The 23,437-nt window shown below is 41.5% G+C and overlaps 2 long non-coding RNA genes across 12 annotated transcripts in view; one reads left to right on the top strand and one right to left on the bottom strand.

Annotated features, from left to right (window-relative positions):
• LOC124906243 (uncharacterized) overlaps nt 1-23,437 on the top strand; it is a 207,146-nt gene that overhangs the window by 53,887 nt on the left and 129,822 nt on the right. The window lies entirely within an intron of this gene.
• LINC02030 (long intergenic non-protein coding RNA 2030) overlaps nt 1-23,437 on the bottom strand; it is a 74,093-nt gene that overhangs the window by 3,881 nt on the left and 46,775 nt on the right. For 8 of the 11 annotated variants that reach the window (NR_183740.1, NR_183746.1, NR_183747.1 and 5 more), the window contains 2 exons: nt 10,623-10,749; nt 751-865 (listed from right to left, as the gene is read on the bottom strand). This is a non-coding gene — a long non-coding RNA (long intergenic non-protein coding RNA 2030). Of the gene's footprint in view, nt 1-750; nt 866-10,622; nt 10,750-12,274; nt 12,332-23,437 lie in introns of all 11 variants that reach the window. The other 3 variants (NR_183745.1, NR_183748.1, NR_183749.1) reach the window with 1 other exon arrangement.

The following is a 23,437-nucleotide window of genomic DNA, read 5'->3' as shown; positions in this document are numbered from 1 at the left end:
TTCCTATCATTGCCATGTGTTGTGGGAGGGACCCGGTGGGAGGTAATTGAATCATGGGTGTGGTTTCCCCATGCTGTTCACATGATAGTGTGTGAGTCTCATGAGATCTGGTGGTTTCTTAAGTGCCTAGCATTTTTCCCCTGCTGGCACTCATTCTCTCTCCTACAGCCCTGTGAAGAGGTGGCTTCCATCATGACTGCAAGTTTCCTGAGGCCTCCCCAGCCATGCAGAAATTTGAGTTAATTAAACCTCTTTTCTTTATAAATTACTGAGTCTCAGGCATGTCTTTATTAGTAGTGTGAGAATGGACTAATACAATATATTGACACACACACATCCTATTTTGTGGTAATGAAAAGCGGAAATATCTTCTTCATCTTATCTATGAGGCAACTAAGGGTTAGACACTAATCTACCAAAGGCATATCGTTTGCAAATGGTGGCACTGAGAAGGAGACCTCAGGGGCTTCCCGGTTCCGAGGTACAGCAGCATCCTTCTTCCAATGTGCTGTGCCTGCTCAGGGGGTCAGAGGCTCAATAACTCCCTGTGCAGGCACAGCACATTAGGCCTAGCACATTGGGCACATTTTAGGAGAAAACATTTCTTGAAGCAAGTCTAACAAATCCATTCTTCTCCTCAAATTTGTTTTCTGAAATAAAGCTTCAGACCAAGAATGTAAGTCTGATAAGAATGCAAGGCAGACAAAGGAAAGTGTCAGCGAGAATGTGCGGGAACTGATACCCTCTTACCTTGCTGATGGAAATATAGAATGTTGCAGCCATTTTGGAAACAGTTTGGCAGCTCCTCAAAATGTTAAACATAGAATTACTGTATGACTCAGCAATTCCACTCCTAAGTGTCTACCTAAGAGAATTGAAAACATATGCATGAGTATTCACAACAGCATTACTCATAAAAGCCAAAAAGTGGAGACAACCAAAATGTCCATTAACTGATAAATAAGTAAGCAAAAGATGGTATATCCATACAGTGGATAAAAAAGAATGAAGTCTTTATTCATGCCACAAAACAGATGCCTTGTGAGAACATTACGCTAAATGAAGAAAGCCAGTCAACAAAGAAAAGTCAACATACTGTGTAATTTTATGTATATGAAATGTCTAGAATAGACAAATCTATGGATACTGAAAGTAGATTCATGGTAGCCTAGAGTTGAGGGGTGGGGGGGATGGGAGTGACTGCTAATGTGTACTCTTCATAGGGTTTCTCTGTGGGGTAATGAAAATGCTCTAAAATTAGATTATGGTGATGGTTGGACAACTATGAATACACTCAAAACTACTGAATTGTTCACTTTTGTGCAACTTTTACTGCATGTGAATTATATCTTAATAAAAGCTATTTTAAAAAAGAGAATGCAAGCCTGACTTGCCAAGGTACCCTTCTTTTGAAAACTAAATGAACAAACATCTGAAATTTGCTATTTTCTGTATGAAAGTATGCAGAACTGGGGGAGATGACTTCCAGTAAACAAATCAGTAAAGACGAGAGAAAGCAGCAGTTGAGCATGAAAGGTTGAGAGCCTTTAAATGTGCCTTAAAGAATGAAATAGATTTGGGCATAATAGAAAGGATATTCTAAATGCAAGGAATGGTGTGAGCCAAGCTCTAGAGGGGAAAAGACATGAACAGAAAACATGGGAAAACATTGTTTTCTTCCAACGTTGTTTAAATTGAACAAAGAAGACATACTACATTTTAAAACCATGCTAACAAATACTCACAGGTATGAATACCTTTTGGATGATTTTATATTAAGAGTCGAAAAGAAAAATACAAAAAACTTGACAGAAGCTCACTTCATAAGAAATGCTGGTAGGTGACCTGTATTCTGTTAAACAAAATATATTAATAATAGCTTCCAAAAAGAAATTACTAAATTTGGAGCTACTAGTAATATTTTTATCATTTTATTTTATTATTTTTGAGACAGGGTCTTGCTCTGTTGCCCAGGCTGGAGTGCAGTGGTGCAATCATGGCTCACTGCAGCCTCAACCTCCCAGACCCAAGCAATCCCCCCACCTTAGCCTCCTGAGCAGCTGGGACTACAGGTGTGAGCCATCATGCCCAGCCTACTTGAAAAATATCAACCATGAAAACCAATTTAATGCTAGCACATCTACTCTCAGTAATCATCTGATCAAAGAGAAAATATCTTTCTTTGGTTGGGTGTCTCATGCAGGGTTGTCACAAGCCAGTTGCGCTCAGCTTGATAAAATGGCACGTGGCATTTCTTATAGCAACATTTGCCCTCTGAGAAAAGAACCTTCATATGGCAGGTAGCCAGAGTGATGACTGTCTTGAAGCCCTGAGAAGATTCATTCCAAGTCCAGGGCAAACCAGAAGTCCTTTTATTTATAGAAAGATGTATTAAACATCTTTATCAATCTCCCCTCTACAGATATCTCAGCAAGCTTCATAGCCTATTTGTTATCTACTTTTGGTTCTCTGCTCAGAAATTTTATGATTCTCCATGTTAATCAAGTAAAGGCAGCAGTGAGGAACAGAATATCTCAGTCAAATTAAATTCCTACCTCTCTCTAGGACTGGAATAAAGCTCATTAAGTAAAGATGAGTCCTGCTTTTTCAGAAAATGAATCAAGACAGAATACAGATACAGTCAGTAGTTAAGAAATCAGTAAGTAACAAATAATAAATGATGAAAAACCTCTAACATGTAGTCCATGAGGCCTTGTGTAAGCAGAAAAGCACGTGGATGCCACATAGCCCAGGCAAAGGTAGCTCCAAAGGAGTGAGACCACTCAGTAGACCTAGGCTAAGAGCAATGCATATCACTGCTCCCCATCAGTGTTTGTGAGTCGGAGGTTTTGGTTCCTCTCACCAGCAAGAAGAAGAATAATACCAGCTGGTCTGAGGGCAGGTGGCAAAAAGGTGTGCCAGGAAGATGGTTGTGAAATGCGAGAGTTCCCTGACACCCCTCGCAGGATGTGCGACAGGGGTGTGGCTTGTCTGTTCAGACACTGCACCTGCTCAAACCCCTTATGGGAGGGGGAGCATGCAGATGGGCAGGTGAAGGAGCTGGGGCAAGTGCTTTGGGGCTCTGGCCCCATGGTAGCATCTAGGAGTGGGCGCCTGTAACTCCCAAAGCCTGTGTAGGCTTGTGCTACGGTGAGCTCTTTTAGCCTTGCCATCCACAGACAGCTTAAGTGTTAACCAGCTCAGTGTCCTCTTGGTACTGAGGTACCAAGCATATAGGAAGAATCAGGTTGCACACGAACTTGAAGGACGAATGCAGGGGTTTTATTGAGTGATGGAGGTAGGGCTCAGCGGGTTGGGTGGGGAGCTGAAAAGTGAATGGAGTGGGGAGATGATCTTCTCCCGGAGTTTGGCTGTCCAGCAGCCAATCTCTCTGACCATTCCCAGCCAAACTCCTCTCAGCATTCAGATGCTCATTCTCTTCTCTCTGCCATGCCGTTCTGCTGTGCTTCTGCTCTTCTGTTCATCTTCGTCTGCTTCTGGAGCCTGGGGTCTGGGGTTTATACGGGTACACGGTAAGGGAGCCTGGCAGGCCAAATGCAACTTTTGGGTGTGTAAACATGAATGCCTGTTCCCATTAGGGCCGTGAGTTTCCAGGCTTGAGGATGGGGCCTTTGCTGGGGACCCACCCACTTCTACCCAGTACTTCCTCGTCTCTTGTCTGTATCAGCTGGGTCAATAATTTGGGAAGAGGGAGTAAGATGTAATATCTTGGAGGGCTAGATGACTGATGAGACAGCCTAAGCTCTGCTTAGGGCACTCATAAATGAGAGATCAATCCTCTTGTTCCCTTTCCTCTCAACAAATGAAGTGCATGAGAGAAGCATGGGCTCAGGTTCCTAAAAGTTATAATCGGGCCTGACACTCTGCTGCTAGTGTTGCATCTATGACTAATATCACAACTGGTACCAGCACTACCAATAGGGATAAATTCCATTATTGGGGCTCTTTACACATCATTTCTGAACATCCTCACAGGCACCAGATGACTTTGCCTAAAATAAGCCCAATTCACAGCTAAGGAACATGAGGTCCGTGGTCCCCCACCATGGTGGGGCTGGAATTCAAACCCAGCCACAAAAACCCTGGTCCATCTAGGGCACCAGGATTCAAAGACAAAAACACTTTACTGAGTTCATTTATGGGGGAGAAGTGAAGAGGACCGTCAGCTGAGTAAGTCTTGAAGTGGGGGCCGTTGGCTGAGAAATCAGCGAACAAGCAGTTTTGTTTTATTAATTCCATGCTGGAGTTCCATAGCTGGGCCAGTCGGTTTGTAAGTTACCTCTGGAACAGTAGCTGAACTACCCAGAGTGCATGATTGGAAAAGAGGAAATGGGGGAGGCTAGTCCTCCTCAACCTCTCACAGGAGAGAAATATGGTTTTCTCCAGCTCCTACAGACAGGTTCCTGGGGCTATCTGGGGCTGGAGCCTCTAGGCAAGCTGATTTGAAACGCATCCAAGCGGATATCTTGCTTCAAAGAGTCAGGCCCCCCCGGGGCAGAGCCTGAACCTGAGTACTGGAAGAGGACCAGGGGGCTGGAATTCAGGCACTGCCCTCCCATCCCCCAGGCCCGGGAGGGTTTGTTTAACCCCTCAGGGGTGCTGTGTGCCTTCCTTGTCGAGGTGGTTTGCGGCTTCGTGAAGCGATATTTATAGAGTGCTCTGTGATTCTTGGGTGAACATTCGTTTTATAAATGAATGATCAAATTTATTAGCAAAGAGTAACTAACCCGTCTACATTTATTTTGTTGATAATACAAATTTACAAGGTTTTAATTGCCAGTTTTAAAACCCCCAAAACCCATAAATAAATACACGGGTAATAAAATATCTTCTCACTGTGCCCTTGACTTCTGTAGTTACATGAGGGCTTATGGGAATGTCTGAAGGAGCTTTCAGATGGAATCACAAAACTTGTTTGAAAGGACTCAGGGCGGGAAACAGTCTAATTCAAACCTGGCTGGTGGTAATTTCATGTATGTTAACCAAAATGCTACTACTGATCATGATTATTAATAATTTGTTTTATAATGCTTGTTCATGTTAATAATCTCCTTTTATTCTATTATCTCATTTACTGCTCTATGACTTTGCTACTTGGAGTGCAGTCTCCAGATCAGCCACATCGGTATGGCCTGGTAGCTTATTAGAATTCTGAGCTCTCAGGCCCCACCTCAGACCTACTGAGCCTGAACCTGCAGCATCATAAGATCCCCAGGTGATTTGTGTGCACATTGTAGTTTGTGATTTGCTGCATTATGAGGTGTTTTATTCTCTCCCATTTCACAGCCAAAACAACTGAGCTCCAGAGAGGTTCGATACATCACCCATAGTCCCACGCCAAGCTGAATTTGAATCTGGTCTCTTGTAGTCAGAGCTCTCAACAGTAAGCCAGATGCTGCAGGTGTCCACCACTAGTCCAGAAGCATGGACTTGTGAGGACAGTGATGACAGTCTTGGGCCTCTAAGGTAGTGACTTCACTGGGCTGGGGTCCATTGGTTGTATACTCAGCTGTTTGTACCTACATCCTTCAGATCCAGCGGGGGGAGGCTCAACCTCTGCACGATGCACCTCAGAGAAGCCAAGGGACAGCTTGAGGTTGAGATCCAGTGTGGTCTCACATAGCATTTTCTTTCAAGGGTAGAAATGATGGCCTATTTATTGCTTAAGAAAAACATAAGCTGTTTTGAAACAGTAATCTGCATCCCAGAAAGTCAGAGAATGTCTGAGGTCAAAGTAAAGTGGTAAATTGAGTATATTCATTAAGAGCAATGAGAGTTTACTATGTGTCAGTCACTGCTCAGAATGCCAAGAATAGAGTAGGGGTACAAAACTAAGTCCTTGACCATAAAGAAGAAGAAAGTTAACAAGTAAGATGATTTGAGCCATCCCTGTGTCTGTCCACCAGAATCTAAAGGAAGTCAAGTCAGATCTTTTTCTTCAATATTGATATGATTGATGCAAATGTGAACTGGAACAGGACCCATGCAAATCACCCAAACTCCCTGAGTTCCCTATTTCTCTCTGTTATGGCAGCCTTAACTTAATCTGTTCTCACCCTGAATGCACCTATTTTATCCAAGACAGGAGGTCTTCATCTGTCTGACTGAGCACATTTTATATCAGTCACGGTGAGTTTCTAAGCATGAAGAGAAAGAAAGGCTATTGGGATACATGGAGCGCAGCTATTGGGCATCTCTCCTACGAGACACTCTTCTAGTGTTGTACTCAGCAACTCCGAACTCAGTTTGCCTACCTGTCAAGTGGGTGGGTAAATAATATCCTCTTTATTGCTGTAAAGCTGTGTGTGACTTTGGTGACTAGAAAATATGCAGATGTTTTAAGAACTAAAGTGGTCTGTATTTGTACACAGACCTCTCCTTTTTCTGAACCCAATGGTGCAACTGTTTTAAAACCACCTTCTCCTTCTGTACTTTGTTGAAATCATTCAGAGTGCCTTCTGAGACCAGGGCCTTCTAAATTTATGACTTGTCATCTAGAACTTTCCCCTAAGGACAAAGTTCCTCTGCAAAGGATGCTCTCCATTGAGCACCATTTTCCAAGAGTTGCATGGGGGCTGGGAGAAGAGAGACTGACTCTTCCAATGGAACCACAAACAATGGGATTTGCATGAGCCAAACCTCATCCAGGGCTCTGAAAACTACCCCTGGAGGCTCTCTGAAGTGGGGGACTAGACAGACAAAGATCCTATACAATTGCCCTTTGTTTCTAATTTTATTATAAATTATTTTAGGATTATTGGATGAATAGGAATTTAAGGATATGGTTTCATCTTTCTGGGTGTTCCCTTATTAGATTCCTGCAGCTTAAACCAACCCAGGCCACCCAATAAACAAGACTTGGATGCCTGGGTAAACTAATTGGCTCTGTCCTTTCATGGATTCAAAGTGTAATTATGTAGCAGTCACTGATCTCAGTTGCTGGATTAAAAAATGGGTAAATCCCATGGGATCCCTGCCCACAAGGTGTCTTAGACACCTTAGACAGTGGCAAATATAAAACTCAGACATTAAAAATGGGTAGTGTCTCATGGCCTAAACATGGATATTTGGTCTACTACCCTTGTGTATAAGGGGTTCATTATGAATATTTGTGGATTTCCTGGAAAGGGAGTTTTTGGGGCAGATGCCACAAAAGGTGTCTATGAATATCATTTAGAATTCCTCACCAGACAGAATAAAGGGATATTTGTTTTCTATCATCTTTTTTCCCTTCTAGTACTGAATGACAAGACAAACATTGTCTCTAACCCAAATAGAGCTTATAATACCTTAGTTAAGAGAAGTTATATAGAAACAAAACATAATATAATATTGTGAAATGTGGTAACTACTTAGAAATGACCAAGGTACTGTTTTCACGGATGTTTCCTTTTCTACTAAAAGTAGCAACTTCTACATGTATAAAACTTTCGATTAAGTCCAAGTCTTCAGGGAAAGAATAAGGTCAGAGAATAAGGGCATTGGGTTGATAGAGAAGAAAGTGGTTGAGGGAGTGTATTAATCCATTCTCATGCTGCCGATAAAGACATACCTGAGACTGGGTAATTTATAAAGGAAGGAGGTTTAATGGACTCATAGTTGCACATGGTTGGGGAGGCCTCACAAGCATGGCAGAAGGCAAAGGAAGAACAAAGGCACATTTTACATGTCAGCAGACGAGTGAGCATGTGCAGGGGAACTCTCCTTTATAAAACCATCAGATCTTGTGACACTTACTGACTGTCATGAGAACAGCATGGGAAAACCTGCTCCCATGATTCAGTTACCTCCCACCAGGTCCCTCCCATGACACATGGGGATTATGGGAGCCACAATTCAAGATGAGATTTGGGTAGGGACACAGCCAAACCATATCAGAGAGTGATCTAGGAAGCCCTCTCAGAGGATGTGGTACTTTGTTTGTAACTTGAAGAATGAGAACTTAGCCAATGGGGTGGGGGTTGTCATAGGCAGCAGACTTACCAGCAGACAACAACACATGTGTGACCCCCTAAGTGGGTCAAAAGCTGGGTGCTTTCCAAGAACAGCAAGAAGGTCAATGCAGCTGCAACTGCACTGCAGTAATGGACAGGAGAGTGAGCTGAGATGATGTTGGAAAGGACAGGAAGCACTAGATCAGGCAGGTTATGCAGTTCAGCAGTGAGCCATTGACATGCTCTGCCTTAGTATTGCCCTCTGGCAGCTGTATGGGAAACAGACTGAGGGGGGTTGCCATGGAAGCCAGAAAGCACTTGCACTTAAAAAGCTATGGAAATACTTGCAACCAAAGATGGCCTAGGTTACAATGATAGAGATGAAGAGAAGCAATTCAAATTTTATTTGGGGTATTAGAGTTCATAGGATTTGTTGATTGATTAGATGTTGGAGGATTAGTTAAGGATGCTTTCAGATTTTTAGTTTGAAGTCTTGGGTGGATATGTGGATCAGTTAACAAAGATTAGCTAAGATGGTAGGAGGAACTGGTTTGCGGGAGACGCCAAGTGCTAGCAGAGAGACCCCCATCCTGAAGGCATGACTGTGCAGAGATGCAGGAAAGCTGCCCCAGCCAAGATGTAACTGTTACTCTGTTTTGGCTCATCAGAAAAGAAAAAAGTGTCTTGAGTGATTATTGCTGCTTGCCCTGAGCACAAATTTAATGATGAATTTGTTGGGTACTTGCCATCCATGCCCTATCAGATATAGGACAATGACCAGATATAGGACTTGGAACATTAGTAAATCTTGTTTAAAGCCCTTCTCTTGCCAGGCACTATTCTAGACACTGTCAGGGAATGTGTAATGACTAGCTGACAAGAGCCCATTGCAATGTTTTCCTTCAGGTTTTAATGCAAGCATCATCAAGGAAGCTAAAAAGCATTTTGTTTCTTTTAGAGTGGTAAGTATGCACTATAAGTAGATGGTACAGATGGTACAGATGTCTACGGGGAGGGAAGACTCAGACCGACCCTGGAGTCTGGAGTTTTATACACATAACAACTCTCAGTAGAATGGGATGGCCATAAAAATTTGCAACTGCAGGATAAATATTCTATCCACAAATCTTTTTCATTATTTTAATACTTGACTAAAAGGAGATTTGAATTTTGCACTTTGAAGCTTTCAGCTGTGGACTGCTAAGGGTGATACTCTTGATGGGAATAGTACTTCGATTCCAGAGCTCATTTCAAATAGCACTGGGTCCAAGCCCAAGTGCCTTGTGTCATTGGCCGGTCAGACCATACTGAGTATGCCCATTACAAACATATCTTTATTGCATTTTATCTCTTTAAAACAGCAACATTTTTTGGCAGCTGGAGCTGCTTCTCTGGAACCAGTTAGTAGCTATAAAGGAGGCTCAGGTTTCTGGCAGTCAATCAGAACACAGGTGGAGCCGACCCATGCACCCCAACAGCCTCTTGGCCTAGGCTAAATGGGGATTTAGTAGACCTCCTTGGGATTGGGGTCGGGGGACTCATGTTTCCAGTGGAAAGAAAGTAAATCCAGAATCCAGGAAGGGACAGGCAGCTTACAATAATAGTCTCTTACCTCTGTACTGTGCTATACATTTCATACTATATATATTGTTATATCACACAATATATTTCACAGGATATATATGTTGTTATTCTTTTTCCTCACCACCTTACCCCTCAAAAAAGTCCTATGAGGTATATATTGTTATCTTCATTTTATAGATTTGGAAACCAAGGTTTACAAAGAGAAGGTGCTTTGACCGAAGCCACAGACTAATAAATGGGACTTAAGTGAAGATCTGACTTCAAGTCTAACCTTCAAAGGCAAGCTTCAAAGGAAGTAAAAAGGAACTAAAATGTATTGTATTTTACTTTGTGCCAGGCACAGTACAGTGCTGAGGCAGAAAGAAGAATCAAATACTGTTTGCAACTTCATTTGTCATATCTGTCACTACTCAAGAGAAGCCATGAGGTCTAAAACAAATAGCATAAACTAATGTAACAGGGATTGAATTGATACTAGAATTTACATGTGCCCTTGGTCATATTTAGTGAAAATGTGAGAATGATTTAGAGCAGGGGTCAGCACACTATGGCCCATGGGCCAAATCTGGCCTGCTGCCCTTTTTTTGTAAGTCACAGCCTATTGGAGCACAGCCATGCCCATTCATTTACACACTGCCTGTGGCTGCTTTTGTGCCAGGATGACAGGGTTGGCTCGTTGAGACAGAGACTGTAAGGCTTGTGAAGCCTAAAATATTTACTTATCTGGACCTTTACAGAAAAATGTGCTTACCCTTGATTTAGAAATGTTTTCTCATCTTGAATTGAATCATGGACTCATCCTTCCTTTTTAAATAGGAATTATAGTGAAGGGTAGATTGCAAACTAACTAAGAATATAAATTTAGTACTTAAAGTGCTTGGATGAGATCTCTGTAATGCCCTCTGAATGTGAAGTTAGGATTGTCTGGGACATGGCAGAAATGTTTGAGGACAACTGAAGGGAAAAGTTATCCATGAAGTATCTGTTAGTGCTGCCTGCCTTGGATGGAAAAATAGAGCAAAGGGTGTACAGTTCAGGGCTGGTTAACTGTATAGAAACAATCCCTGTATCTTGGTGTCTTACCTTTCTTGCTTGTGTCACAGTCCAATGTAGAGTGAGCTCCATGCAGTCATTCAGGGACCCAGGCACCTTCATGGTGTGGCTCTACCATCTCCCAGGGCCTCAGAGACCTCCACTGGATCCTTTGCATCTAGCAGATGAGAGGGGAGCATGCATGAGGAACAGATCAGGAGATTTTAGGGGCCATTCCTGGAAGTAACACACATCCCTTCTGCCAACATTCTGTGAGGAGTAACTAGTCACATGTCCTCACTTACATGTGAGGGGGCTGGGGAAATGCAGTTTAGAGGTATGCCAATGATGAAAGAAACATGAATACTGGTGAAGAATAAGCTAGCTTCAGCCTCAATGGTCTGTGGATCTAACCAGATAAAGTGTCTTAGGTTCACATGCTGCTTGGCTAGGGAGTCTCCCCACTCCCTCTTGCCCTCCTCTCTATCTCCTTTGCAATCTTGCTTCCTCTCTTATTTCTCCCTCACTCCCTCTTTTCCTCCCTCCCTTTCTTATCAATTTATAATCAATCTGTATAGCCTGGTCCTTGGTCATAACAACTACAAAAACTGTTAAAAACTAGTCCCTGTTCTGTGTTATCTATGTTTCCAATCCCGCCTAAATTGATAGAGGAAAAAATTAGAAAAAAAATAAATGCAAGAATCCTACCTCTAACACAGCAAAATGATGGAAGGGGTAGCATGGGCACCATGCTCTGGAGCAGGATGGATGGGGAACATTTGGCTTATGTATGTATGAGTTTAAAGTGGTATTTAATTAAAAAGTTGCAAGCTCATGAAACAAATGATTTTGTTTGGCTCTCCCTTGTACAATCCCAGTTTCTAAGAAACAATAACTTGTAATTTATGGGTTCGCTTTTCACAGAAGTATGGAAGTTATATGTAGCTCATGTTTGAATGAGAAAAAAAAATCCCTGATGGTAACTCATTATCTGTCTGGCTAACAAAGGACAAAGTACAAATCCTGGAACATCTTTCTTTGCCATTTCATATTTATGACACATCCTGTTGGTAAAACGTTATTCTCAAGGCAAGCTCTGGAGTTTATTATTTTTTGTCTTCTCATTCTTCATCATTGCATCATTAAAACAAAAATCCTGGGCCAGATGGAAGCTTTCCTCCTTTGGGGTCACGGGTGGAAAAAAGACTGTGTGAAACCATGGATGGCCTGCAACCACTTTGAAGAGGAAGATGATCATGTCTCTTCACAATTCTCAGGCTTGGCATGGCCTTATTGAAGTTTATTCTGAGGTATGTTCTGGTTGGGGGTATAGATTGTTATACAGGCATTCTGAGCTCCTCTGAGAGTGACTTCTTACTCTTTTCATGGGCACTTGACCCTCTGGAATTATTTTTAGCTGCTACATTGGTTGGCATGTATGGTTCATCATCTCCCTCAACAGGCCTGCAAACTCAGTGGGTGGAGGAGACTCTTTTTTTGGCTTATTCCTTGCTATCTCCCAAGTGCCTAAAGCAGGGCTTGGCACATAATAGGCACTCTGAATATTTTGGGAAAGGGAGAATGCATGAGTGAGTGAATGAGTGCATAGTGGTAGCAAATAGATGGCAGGCACCTCTTATCTCCCCAGCCCAATGTCCAGAGGAGATGAGAAATGGACCCTGAGACTTTATGCCTCCCCTTACCTGAAAGCAGCCACTTCCCATTGATTGGGGTCCATGGATTTGTCATCATCAGTCACTCTGGAAAATTTTCACGAGAATATAAGTGATAAAATGGTGTTCCATTGAGTGAAACGGTATGAGAAGCATCATTATATGTCTTGTCTGTCCATGAAGGAGAAGGTACAGTGATTATCTGTTTGGAGGCCTTAATTCATATAATCCAACTGTAGTCTAAGGACACTGGACTAGAGAAGTGCTATGGAGAAGGACATACTTTCAGAAAAATATTTCTTCTTCTAGATTTCAATTATGAAATTTTCTTCTTAATAGGAACCAAATCAATGAGATGCCAAAGAATGAACATTTCACTTCCAACCTGCCTGCCTCTAAGGATGTTAATTCACTCTAGCCCTGATGGGGTCCCTGGGAAGAACTCAGACATGGAATCAAAATCTGTTTTTGTTCCCGTGAATGGGTGAGGCTCTGCTTGGCCTCCAGGTGTCCAGTCCTAGAGACAATGGGACATAAGTTACCAGCCGCTGTCGCTGTCAGGAGGCCTCCTGATTAGTATCTCAGCCTTGACACCTACCCACTGTAGGACCTTGGGGAGGATACTTAACCTCTGAGGCTGATTTACTCATCTAGAAAATGAGGTTACTGATAGCATGCACCTTTTAGTATTGCTAGGAGGATTAGAAAAAACAGTGCTCTGTAAAGGGTTTAAACACAATGTGAGGCACATAGGAGGAGCTTGGCTCATGTTGTATACTATTGCCAAATGTATTATTCTTCCAGCTCCCTGCGGGAATCCTGAGGATGGTTGAATATTTTATGGAATGATAAAGAAGATTAGGGTATCACATCACAGGTTGAGCTAGATAAACTAGAGTATCTTCAATTCATGAAGTCCATGTCTTCTACTTCTCTTTAATTTTTTGTCTCACTTTTGAAAGGGCTTACTAAAAACTAAGCAATTAAAAAAATTCCTTTTCCAAGTCTCCACAGTCATGCCTGTGGTATAATAAAAAATAAATAAATATTTGGTTTTTGTCCCAGGTTTTTGGCACACAGTGCCTAAAACCCTTGGAATCTCCAGAGTGATGAGTGTCTTTTGTATGCTAATAAGACGACTGGTGTCTGGAGTCCCCAAGATAGCTCCAGGATGGAAACTAGTTGCCAGGAAGACCACACCACATGATTGTGATTAGAGGACTGGAAGTTTCAGCCCCACCCTTCTACCTCCTGAGAGGGGAGATGGGCAGGAGATTCAGTCCATCACCAATGGCCAGTGATTTAGTCCACCAGCTCCACGTAATGAAATCTCCATAAAAACCCTTAAATGGTGGGGTTCAGATTGCTTCTGAGTTGGCACACACATCTGTTGTAGGACTTTCTCCTTAGGGTCCTTGTCACACGACCAGGAAAGATTAGGCTCGCAGATGCTTTGAAGGGTGAGAAAAATGGAACGTATTGGGCGAAAAGGGAAAAAAAGGTGGGGAGGAACAGAAACTCTCAGCAGAGAGAGTCCTGCTGGCCAGTTTCCTGCCTCACAGATTAAATTCCAGGTTCACCCAGGAACAAAAGAGGCCAGGCTCCTCCCCCTGCAAACAGCATGAACTTCCAGAGGCTCCACCCCAGTGCACACTCCTCCCAGTGTGCAGGCCAGTTGGAGGTTTTCCGGTGATCCCTTTATACTTGGCTGTCTCACACTGGGGGTCTGGCAGGAGGTGTGCCCTGAGAGAGCATGAACACTCTGCATAGCCCCACACCCTGCCCTGTGTATCTCTTGCATTTGGCTGTTCCTGAGTTGCATCCTTTACAATAAACAAGTGAATGTCAGTAAATGAGTTCTGTACGCCATTCCAGTAAATTATCAAGCCTGTGGAGGGGGGTCATGGGAACCCTTGACTTATAGCTGGCTGGTCAGAAGCGTGGGTGTCCTGAGACTTGCAACGTATATTTGAAGTGGAAGGTAGCCTTCTGGGACTGAGCCCTTAACCTGTGGGGTCCATGCTAATTTCACATAGTGTCAAAATTGAATTGAATTGTTAAATACCCAGTTCGTGTCTGCAAAGAATTGAGGAATTGGTGTCAGGGGAAGAAAGCACCTCTCATTTGGTGTCAGTGGTGTGAGTAAAAACATCTCAACACTGAATACACCCAATGGCATTGCCATAAATCTCAGTGATTAGAGAGTCATCATGCTCTAAAGGGGACTACAGATCTAATGCATGTCACCTGAAGCTCCCACTGCCAAAGCACAGAGCAGACATCACTAATCAATCAGGGTGCTCTTTCTGCCAAGCGCAGGCTCAGTCATGCATTTGCGTGCATTGCTCAGAACTGTCTCTCAGTTGATGAGATCATGACACCTATTTCCTTCCTAATTTAAAGAGGCCATGAGAAACACAGCCTCTGGTTCTGGTTGAATCACTAACCAGCTGTATGGCATTTAACTTCGCTGTTTTATATTATAAAGCTTATATTTTATTAAAGCTCCAATAAACATTTCTCCATCCTCCTCACGAGCCTATTGAGAGATTGGCAGGAGAGGCAAGTTGAAGTTTGATAACAACTTAACTCTCATGGAAGTGCCCTTTAATTTCCAGAGAGAATTGGCTCAAAATTCCACTTTGGGACTGGTGGTACATCTGTTCTTCAGAGCCCCCAAAATTTCCATGCCTTCCTGAGGGGTCTGTTGTTCTCTTACTCACATTCGTCTTAAAACTTCTGCTTTGGTTAATGTTGTCTCACAGACACTGTCCTCTGTTGGATATACTAACCTGGCTAAGGGGCCTTCCTAGCCCTCTTTCTAGATTTCTACCCTCCCTCTTCAGCACACACCTCCTCCACAGGGCCTTCGTGAATTAGTTAAGTTTGGGCAGATGGAAGGAGGTTTGCATAGTGGCCATCTCTGTTCTACAAATCTATTTCGTTATTTTACCATTTAGCACTCCTCCTCTCCTTCTCTCCTCTCTTCTTTTTATCCTTCCTTCTTTACTTCCTCCTCTTTCTTTTAAAAACTCACTGTGCCATCTCTTAAAGTTCTCTGGCTCCTTTCCATATTTTTAGTGCCCTTCTCCCCACCTCTTTCTTGGGCACAACAAAACTCAGATTCTTCCTATCTGAAATTCAATCCTACTTTGGATTTGCTTTCTTTTTCCAGATGCTGACCTGGGCCCTGTCTTTTCATACACAAGTGGGACATTGTGGTGACTAAATAGTGATAGCTCCTTCTCTAAAAAGAACTTTGGTAACAGTCCTTAAAATTATGCATAACATGTGCTTGCATGTGTCCACATGTTGTCTCCTGATATCCGTTCTTTCATTCTGCCTCATTAATAAGAATGCTGATTTTTATCTGGCACATCACCACCTGGTTAATAAAATTGCTTCTGCTAACCTACCTTGTAACTTGATGCAGCCAAGTGACTAAATTGAGATTTAGACAGAATTGTGTGGGATTTATGGGAAGTTGCCTGAAAAGGGAGAGAAGATCCCCTTCTATTCCTTCATTCTGCTGTCTGGAATGCCAGTGAGATAGCTGGAACCCCAGCAGCCATCTTCTACCATGAAGACAAGTGCCTACCCTAGTGAACAGAGTGTGTGATGATTATGTCAAGCAGTCTAGACTCTCACTTCCCATTTCTTATCTTTTTGAAATAAAATTTTTTTCTTGTTTAAGCTTCGTTTTGTTCCTCAGGCTTAACTATTAGAGCAGAGCACAATTCATTATTTTTGAAGCTTGCGTTCTCATGCCTTTCTCTAATTTTACTTTAAGAAACCTATGACATGTACCCCCTTTTTGTTTCTAATGTTGAATGGGGGAAGATGGGTTGAATATGAGCTCTTTGCTCTCAAATGATAGAAAAGAGGTTCTCCAATGTAATGCAGAAACATGAGTGCTGAAGAGAATCTTCATAAAGCCATAAATGTTCTGATGGCTTTCAGAAGACAGTAGCAGGCAGGACATTCTAATGTTAATGTCAACCTTATAAAAAACACAAATGAATATGGTGTTGAGGAAGGCAATGAACCCCATTATTTCTGTGATGGGCTTCCGGGGAAGCCAAGACAGTTTTGTGGTTCAAATGACAGATGTCATCCAAAAATTGAGGACTTCACATCAATTGAAGTGCACATTTAAGAATAATCAAAACATGGCCAGGCACGGTGGCTCACGTCTGCAATCCCACACTTTGGGAGGTGGAGGCGAGTGGATCACCTGAAGTCAGGGGTTTCAGACCAGCCGGACCAGCATGGTGAAACCCTGTCTCTACTAAAAATACAAAATTAGCCGAGTGCGGTGGTGCAAGCCTGTAATCCCAGCTACTCGGGAGTCTGAGGCAGGACAATCGCTTGAACTCGGGAGGCCGAGGTTGCAGTGAGCTGAGATGCACCATCGCATTCCAGCCTGGGCAACAAGAGCAAAACTCCGTCTCAAAAAAAAAAAAAAAAAAAAAAAAGAAAAACCGAAACATAAAACAGATGTCAACATCAAAATACTGAGTGTCTATTCTCAAAGTTAAAGTCAAACATTAAAATAAGTTGAACTAAAGCATGCACTCTTTTCTTTTTCAAATATTTTATGGCTTTGTCAAATGGGAAGACATTAGGAACTCTACGAAGTTACCAGTGTTGTGGTAAAGTTGCCACCACCTAGAACTACACAGGAGTTTCCTGTTGGCTCTTTCATCCCAGCTGGGGAAACACTGAAGTGAATGATTCACAAAAGCTGTAGTTAATTAGTTAATTGATTTTTGTATTTATCTTTGGAAGATGAGGACTCAGATGACTTCTGGAATTGCTACATCTAGAAATGAAATTTTGTCTGAGATTCATTGTGTGTTTATATGGAAAATCATGTTGCTCTTATTTTAAACACAATTACTAATGATAATATATTTATCATAATGGGAAATGCCCACTTCAATCTGATAAATGCAAATTCTACCCTCATTTTCTAGCACCACTCAAATGCCAAGTCCACCTGTGCCCTTCACCACACACGATTTCTACACCTCCCAGAAAATAACTTTTTTTCTAATTAAAATAACCATGCGTGTGCGTTTAAAAACTTTAAAACAGTAAAAAGAAGGGTGAAGAAGAAAGTAGAAATTACCCCAAATCCTATTAAATGCAGATAACATTGTTTACCCCTGGCCACCATTTTCCCCAGACACATGTCACGAGGTAGTGTGGGCTCATGCTTTTGTTCTATCCTCGGTGAGAGCAGGAACTTCCTCTGTCTTGTTCATTGCTGCCTCTCACAATGCCTCAGTGGGTGTCTGGCACTCAGTAAGTACTCAAATATTTGTTTTTGAATTTACCATTTCACATTTCACATACTTCATTTTATGGTTAACATATTGTAGGTATCTTTTCAAGTCAGTAAATGTAAATCTGCTCATCATTTTAAAGTGGTACGAATTTTATTGAACTTTGAATATTGAGTTTTGCTGTTTGTACTGCACATGTACGTGTGTGTTTTTCTTTTTAGAACATATCCTTGTGAGTAGAGTTATTCGGTCAAAGCCCACGCACATTCAAAAATTTGACAAATATTGCCAAACTGCCCTCCAGAAAGTATCTAGGGATTTTCACTCTGATCAAGAGTTCAAAAGAGGGCTCATTGCCCCACACCCTTCTCTGACTTAGATACTGCCATATCTTTGCCAATCTCCTGGCTAAAAATATTATCTCAGTGTTGGTTTTGCTTGTATTAGTATAATTATTGGTAGTCTTGAACGTTTTTTCATATACTTATTGGTTTTTGTTAGTCTAAATTTGTGTTCAGTTCCTGTTTCACATTCTTAATTTTGAGCATGGAGCTGCGTCTCCTTTGGTCATTGATTAGAACAGCTACTGGTTTATCTGTTTTATTGAGCTTACAAATTATCAGTTCTTGGAGCTGGCATGTCTCTATCTTTTTTTCTGTTTTCTCCTATATCAATTTCTATTTTACCTTTATTAATTCCTCCTTTCCACTCTTAGTTTTGTAATGTTTTTTCTATTTTTTTTTTTTTTTTTTAAGACAGAGTCTCACTCTGTCGCCCAGGCTGGAGTGTGCAGTGGCACAATCTCGACTCACTGCAGTCACCACCTCCTGGGTTCGAGCGATTCCCCTGCCTCGGCCTTCCAAGTAGCTGGGACTACAGGTGCACACCACCATGCATGGGTAATTTTTTGTATTGTTTAGTAGAGACGGAGTTTCCCTATGTTGGCCAGGATGGTCTCGATCTCCTGACCTCGTGATCCGCCTGCCTCCGCCTCCCAAAGTGCTGGGATTACAGGCTTTTTTTCTTTGTTTCTGAGGGGCTGCTCATCTTACTATTTCTACACTTTCATTTTATTAACAAATATGTGTGAGGACGAATTTTTACCTTATTAGTTTTGCTATAGTCTATTAAATCTGGGGTAAAGTGTTCTTATTTTGTTTTCTATATGTTTTGAATTTGTAGTTTTGATGTTCTCTTTAACATCAGAGATGTTGTAAAGGCTTGTAAAAATATTTTCATTTCTTGGTCAGGAGGTTTGTTGTTTGTAGTGTTTGTTCTTTTTTATATTTTGTCTTTTGTTGCATATGATTAAAAATGTGGCCTGTACTATTTTTGCTTTTTGGTATTTTTTAAAAGTAATTTTGAACTTGTTAAAAATGTTTTTTGAGTTCACAAACATGTGTTCTTGGTTGTAGAACATAAAGAAGATATATACCTAGTAGGGCAATTTTACTGATTATACTATTTCCACTCTGCTTTATTGACTTGTTTGCTGCTTGACCTGACAAAGGCTTGAGAGGTGTATTAAAATCACGCCTTCTATTACGTTTCTCGATGATTCTCCTTATATTTCCAGCAAGTTTTCCTTTGTATATTTTGGTGTCTTGGTAATTTTTTGGCTCTCTTTTGATAGATGGTCTTTCGTGTTACTGTTTCTGGATTCTCTGGAGTTAGAAAAGTGTGCAGTGGTTATTTTTAGGAAAGGGTCATCCTTGCTTATACATGAGGATACTGCAAAGCAGAAAGTTCAGGTAACTGATACTAGAGCAAGGTCACATAGCAAGTGAGTGGCCAAGCCAGGAGTGCACATCCCTATAGCCCATGCCTTTAGCCTGCAGCTGTCATTATCTTCTGGTATCTAATTCCATGAGAAATGTACCTGGTCTCTCTTCTGAAGTGACTTGTCTACTATATATATGCACTTATAGAATTCTTCATTATTAAAGTACAGTAATTTTATTAAATTTTTTTTCTCAGCATTGGTTGATGTGTATTCACTTTTCCAGGACCTATGAGACTTTTCAGTTTGTAGACTCAGGTCAATATATTAAATTATTACAATATATAGTAAACATACAGAATATGCATGTGTGTGTGTGTGTGTGTGTGTGTGTGTGTGTGTGTGTGTGTATATATATATATAGTATTTCCTTTCATATCTACCATTCTTATTTACAATTTGTAAATTTATTTCTATTCATATGCTATTGATATGGTTTGGTCGTGTCCCCACCCAAATCTCAAACTGTAGCTTCCATAATTCCTACATGTTGTGGGAGAGACCTGGTGAGAGGTAATTGAATCATGGGGGTGGGTCTTTCCCGTGCTGTTCTTGTGATAGGGAATAAGTTTCAGGAGATCTGATGGTTTTATAAAAGGTAGTCCCCCCCTGTACATGCTCTCTTGCCTGCTGCCATGTAAGATGTGATGCCATGTAAGAATCTTTGCCTTCTGCCATGATTTTCAGGCCTCCCCAGCCACGTGGAAGTGTGAGCCCATTAAACCTTTTTCTTTATAAATTATCCAGTCTTGGGTATGTCTTTATCAGCAGCATGAAATCGGACTAATACAGCTATGTTTCCTGTATTTTTCAAATGTGCTTTTTTTGTGGCAATAGTTGTGCTTCTTGCTTTGATGCAGTTTTATGTCCTACAAAAGCATTTCTTTTCTCCTCAGTTTTTTCTAAGTCCTGCTAAATCCTTATTCATCATATCATATTTTCTTACCACATTTTGGTCATTTATTTCATCCATGTGATTTATAATTTATTTGTGAATTTAGTTGTCATTTTAAAAATTAAATTAAAAGAAATGATCTCCCCCTCTTTCTTTCCCTCTTCTGCCCAGCCCACCCTCTCTCACTGTTTATGCTGTATTCTTTTCTTTTAGTGGGGCTTGGAGGGTTGACTAGGAGACAAAATGTTCGTATCGGAAACATGCCAATTTGTCTTCTTTTGCTTTCCTCCTTTACCTTTTATTTTTTTCTTGTTCATCTTTAAAAAGGCAGGTAACTGGTCTTCCTATTTGCCAGAAAAAGGATGTTCACCTCAAATGTGTGAATTCTTCTCTTATAACATGAGATCCAGGAATGTTGATAGTCTCTCAGCTTCCCAGGGAAAGGTGGTCCCTGTCATTGGTAACTTGGACTCTTTGATTCATCTCTGGTTTTACTGACACTCGTGCATCAGAATCCACCTCACTCAAGACAGAGTGGATTCCGTCTCAAAGGGTAGGTGTCCCCAGATTTAAATTTTTCCCATCTGTAGTGTAAGCAGGCTCTTTAATGGAATTTGAGCTTTAGAGAAACCCTGTATGTAGTAAGCATTTGATTTGGTGTGGTTACAGGCATTTTTCTCTTTTTAACCTCCTCGTTTGCTGCCAGGCTTCAACTGAAACACTTGCTGCAAGGATATTATTACTTACTTGGCTTCGACCACCTGCTAAACTATTACAAAGTTTATCTCCTCCTATAGTTCCACCTCTGTAGCCTCAGAATATTGTTTACAGGATGCAGAAAGGTGGCTCCAGAAGGCACATTGAGGAACTTACTCTGGGACCTTCCCATAACTCCAGTCCCAATCCCTGCCTAGTGTGAGACATCAGTGGGTGTTTTTGAGAATTTCCTTATTTTCAATGATAAGCTTATTGCTTATCATTTCTTGCAGAAGGAAACCCTGTTCTGATTTTTAGAATCTTCACTACATTTGGTCCCAATAGTTTCAGACCCAAATGATACATCTGGATATGTATTCCATACCATTGAGACCACTTCTGCTATTAGTGTGAATAATTTCTTTGTTGTTTTTACTTCTTTTGGTTTAATTTTACTCAGCTACGGAAGGGGGAGCTTTGCAACTTCCTAAGCATCCTGTACCTTTGCACCCACCTTTCTTAGAATCTTCCTTCCCCTCTATAACATTGAACTAGTTTAGCTTTTTAAGACGTTTATCCTTACCTTCCTTTCATTTTAGTCATATGTGTTTTAGATGAGTGCTGTTCCAATTGTCTATGGTTAAGGACAAGTTGGTTGTTAAAATTTCCAATCTGTTGTAGACCCTTGCCTTTATGAAGTGTACTAAGCATTGAATTTGCAGAAAGTAAAGTGAAAATAAGACATACAATGCAAATCTGAATTTTTGTTATTAGATTCAACAGATAAAACATTACCTACTATTCGCGTTCCTAAATGCTTACTCTCAATTTCTCTTCTTATTCATTAAGGATGGATCTCAAACAACACGCAACCAGGCATGGTCCATGAGGCCCCCTTTAAGTAGCATCGCCATATGCCCCTCAAGGGCAAGGGCAAGGTCTTGTTAACCCTGTGTGTCCCCCCATGCCTGCCTAACACTATGTCCTACAAATAGCACCTATTGAAAAATAACTGTTGACTATAGGGGTAAGACAATAATACCCTAAGTAGCAAGTGCCTCTTAAGGTGAAAACTCTTAAGTTTATTCTTGACCTTCACAACTTCCTTTTGCCTTGGGAAGATGCAGGTGCCAGAATCTGGATTTGCAGCCAAGGCCCAGAGAAGAGTGGGTCTACACACATGAAGCCTTTTATCCATGCTGTTTTATTTGACCCAAGGCATTTTCCCTCATCTGCTGTTTCATGTCTCTATTGGGAGTAAAAAGCATAGTGTGAAAGACAAGGCAGGATATTAACCGGACCAGGGCCTGGGCCAGGTGTGAGCATTCTGTCTTCTGTCTGTCACTTTATTTATCATCCTTCTCTGAGGACCTCTTGAGGACCCTCTGACTCGCAGTCACACAAACATGGACTCTGCTTGAGAAGCATGTTACGATGAAACACTTGTGGGGTGTAATACGGTCCTGGAACTAGGAATCAAACCTATATATTCTAGTTTATTCTCCTCCAGGGCCAATTTGAAGAGAGTGGCTGAGGAAGTAGCCCCACTTAGGATAGTAGCTGGGCTGAGACTCCACCATCAGCAGTGGGGAAGTCACAATAATGAATAGGACAAAAGGAAGGGACTTCACTTACTGGTCAAATGGAGTGCAGCTCTCGTACCAAGAGTCAGTGGTGTGCAGAGGACTGAACACCCACTGGGGATCTGCAGGGATGGATAAACCAGGAGCCCGCTCTTGAATGATGGGGAGGAAAAGCCAGGGAAAACTCATGATGAGGTAAGGCACATGTGTAAAGGCCATAAAAGACTTATACCTAAAGTGCTAGGGTGACAAGGATGGAGGAAAGGGTAACTTTTAAGGGCAAAAGGTCACTTCCCAGATTATTAAAATATATTTTTAAAATTTTTTATTTCCATAGGTTTTTGGAGAACAGGTGATATTTGGTTACATGAGTAAGTTCTTTAGTGGTGATTTGTGAGATTTTGGTGCACCCATCACCCAAGCAGTATACACGGCACCCAATTTGTAGTCTTTTATCCCTCTCCACCTCCCACCCTTCCCCTGAGTTCCCAAAGTCCTACTGTAACCCTAAATTGTAGGCATATATGGAAAATAATTTATTTGTTGACCTCCTTATTTAATATCCTTCCTCTGCCAACTCAGGTGGTGATCTCAGTTTGCGTGTATTTTTTTTTCTCCTATTTCTCAGGATTGCATTTATAGTTTCTTTGTCTATGAGCTTATCTAATACTAACTTTTGATCAGAGGTGTTGTTTGTGTGTGTGAAATGCTTGGAAGAGTGTCTGGCAGATGGTAGGCATTCACTCAGTGGTTTTCCCTTTGTTTTTGGCTTTCTGGACCTAGCTATCTGGGGAAAGGCTATTAATTATGATAACTGCAAAGCATCAAGTTGATGAGAGAGTGAACCCCTGAACAGGAAGGGGGAGGATTTGAGTCCAAGGATAATAGGTGACCAAATTGTACGGAAACAGTGCAGAAGAGCTAATTTCTTGGCAGTTAAAAAAAATATTG

The sequence above is a fragment of the Homo sapiens genome, chromosome 3 (assembly GCF_000001405.40).
Source record: "Homo sapiens chromosome 3, GRCh38.p14 Primary Assembly".
NCBI lineage: Eukaryota > Metazoa > Chordata > Mammalia > Primates > Hominidae > Homo > Homo sapiens.
Note: the sequence above shows the minus strand (reverse complement) of the source record. Positions and strands in the feature narration are given on the sequence as shown.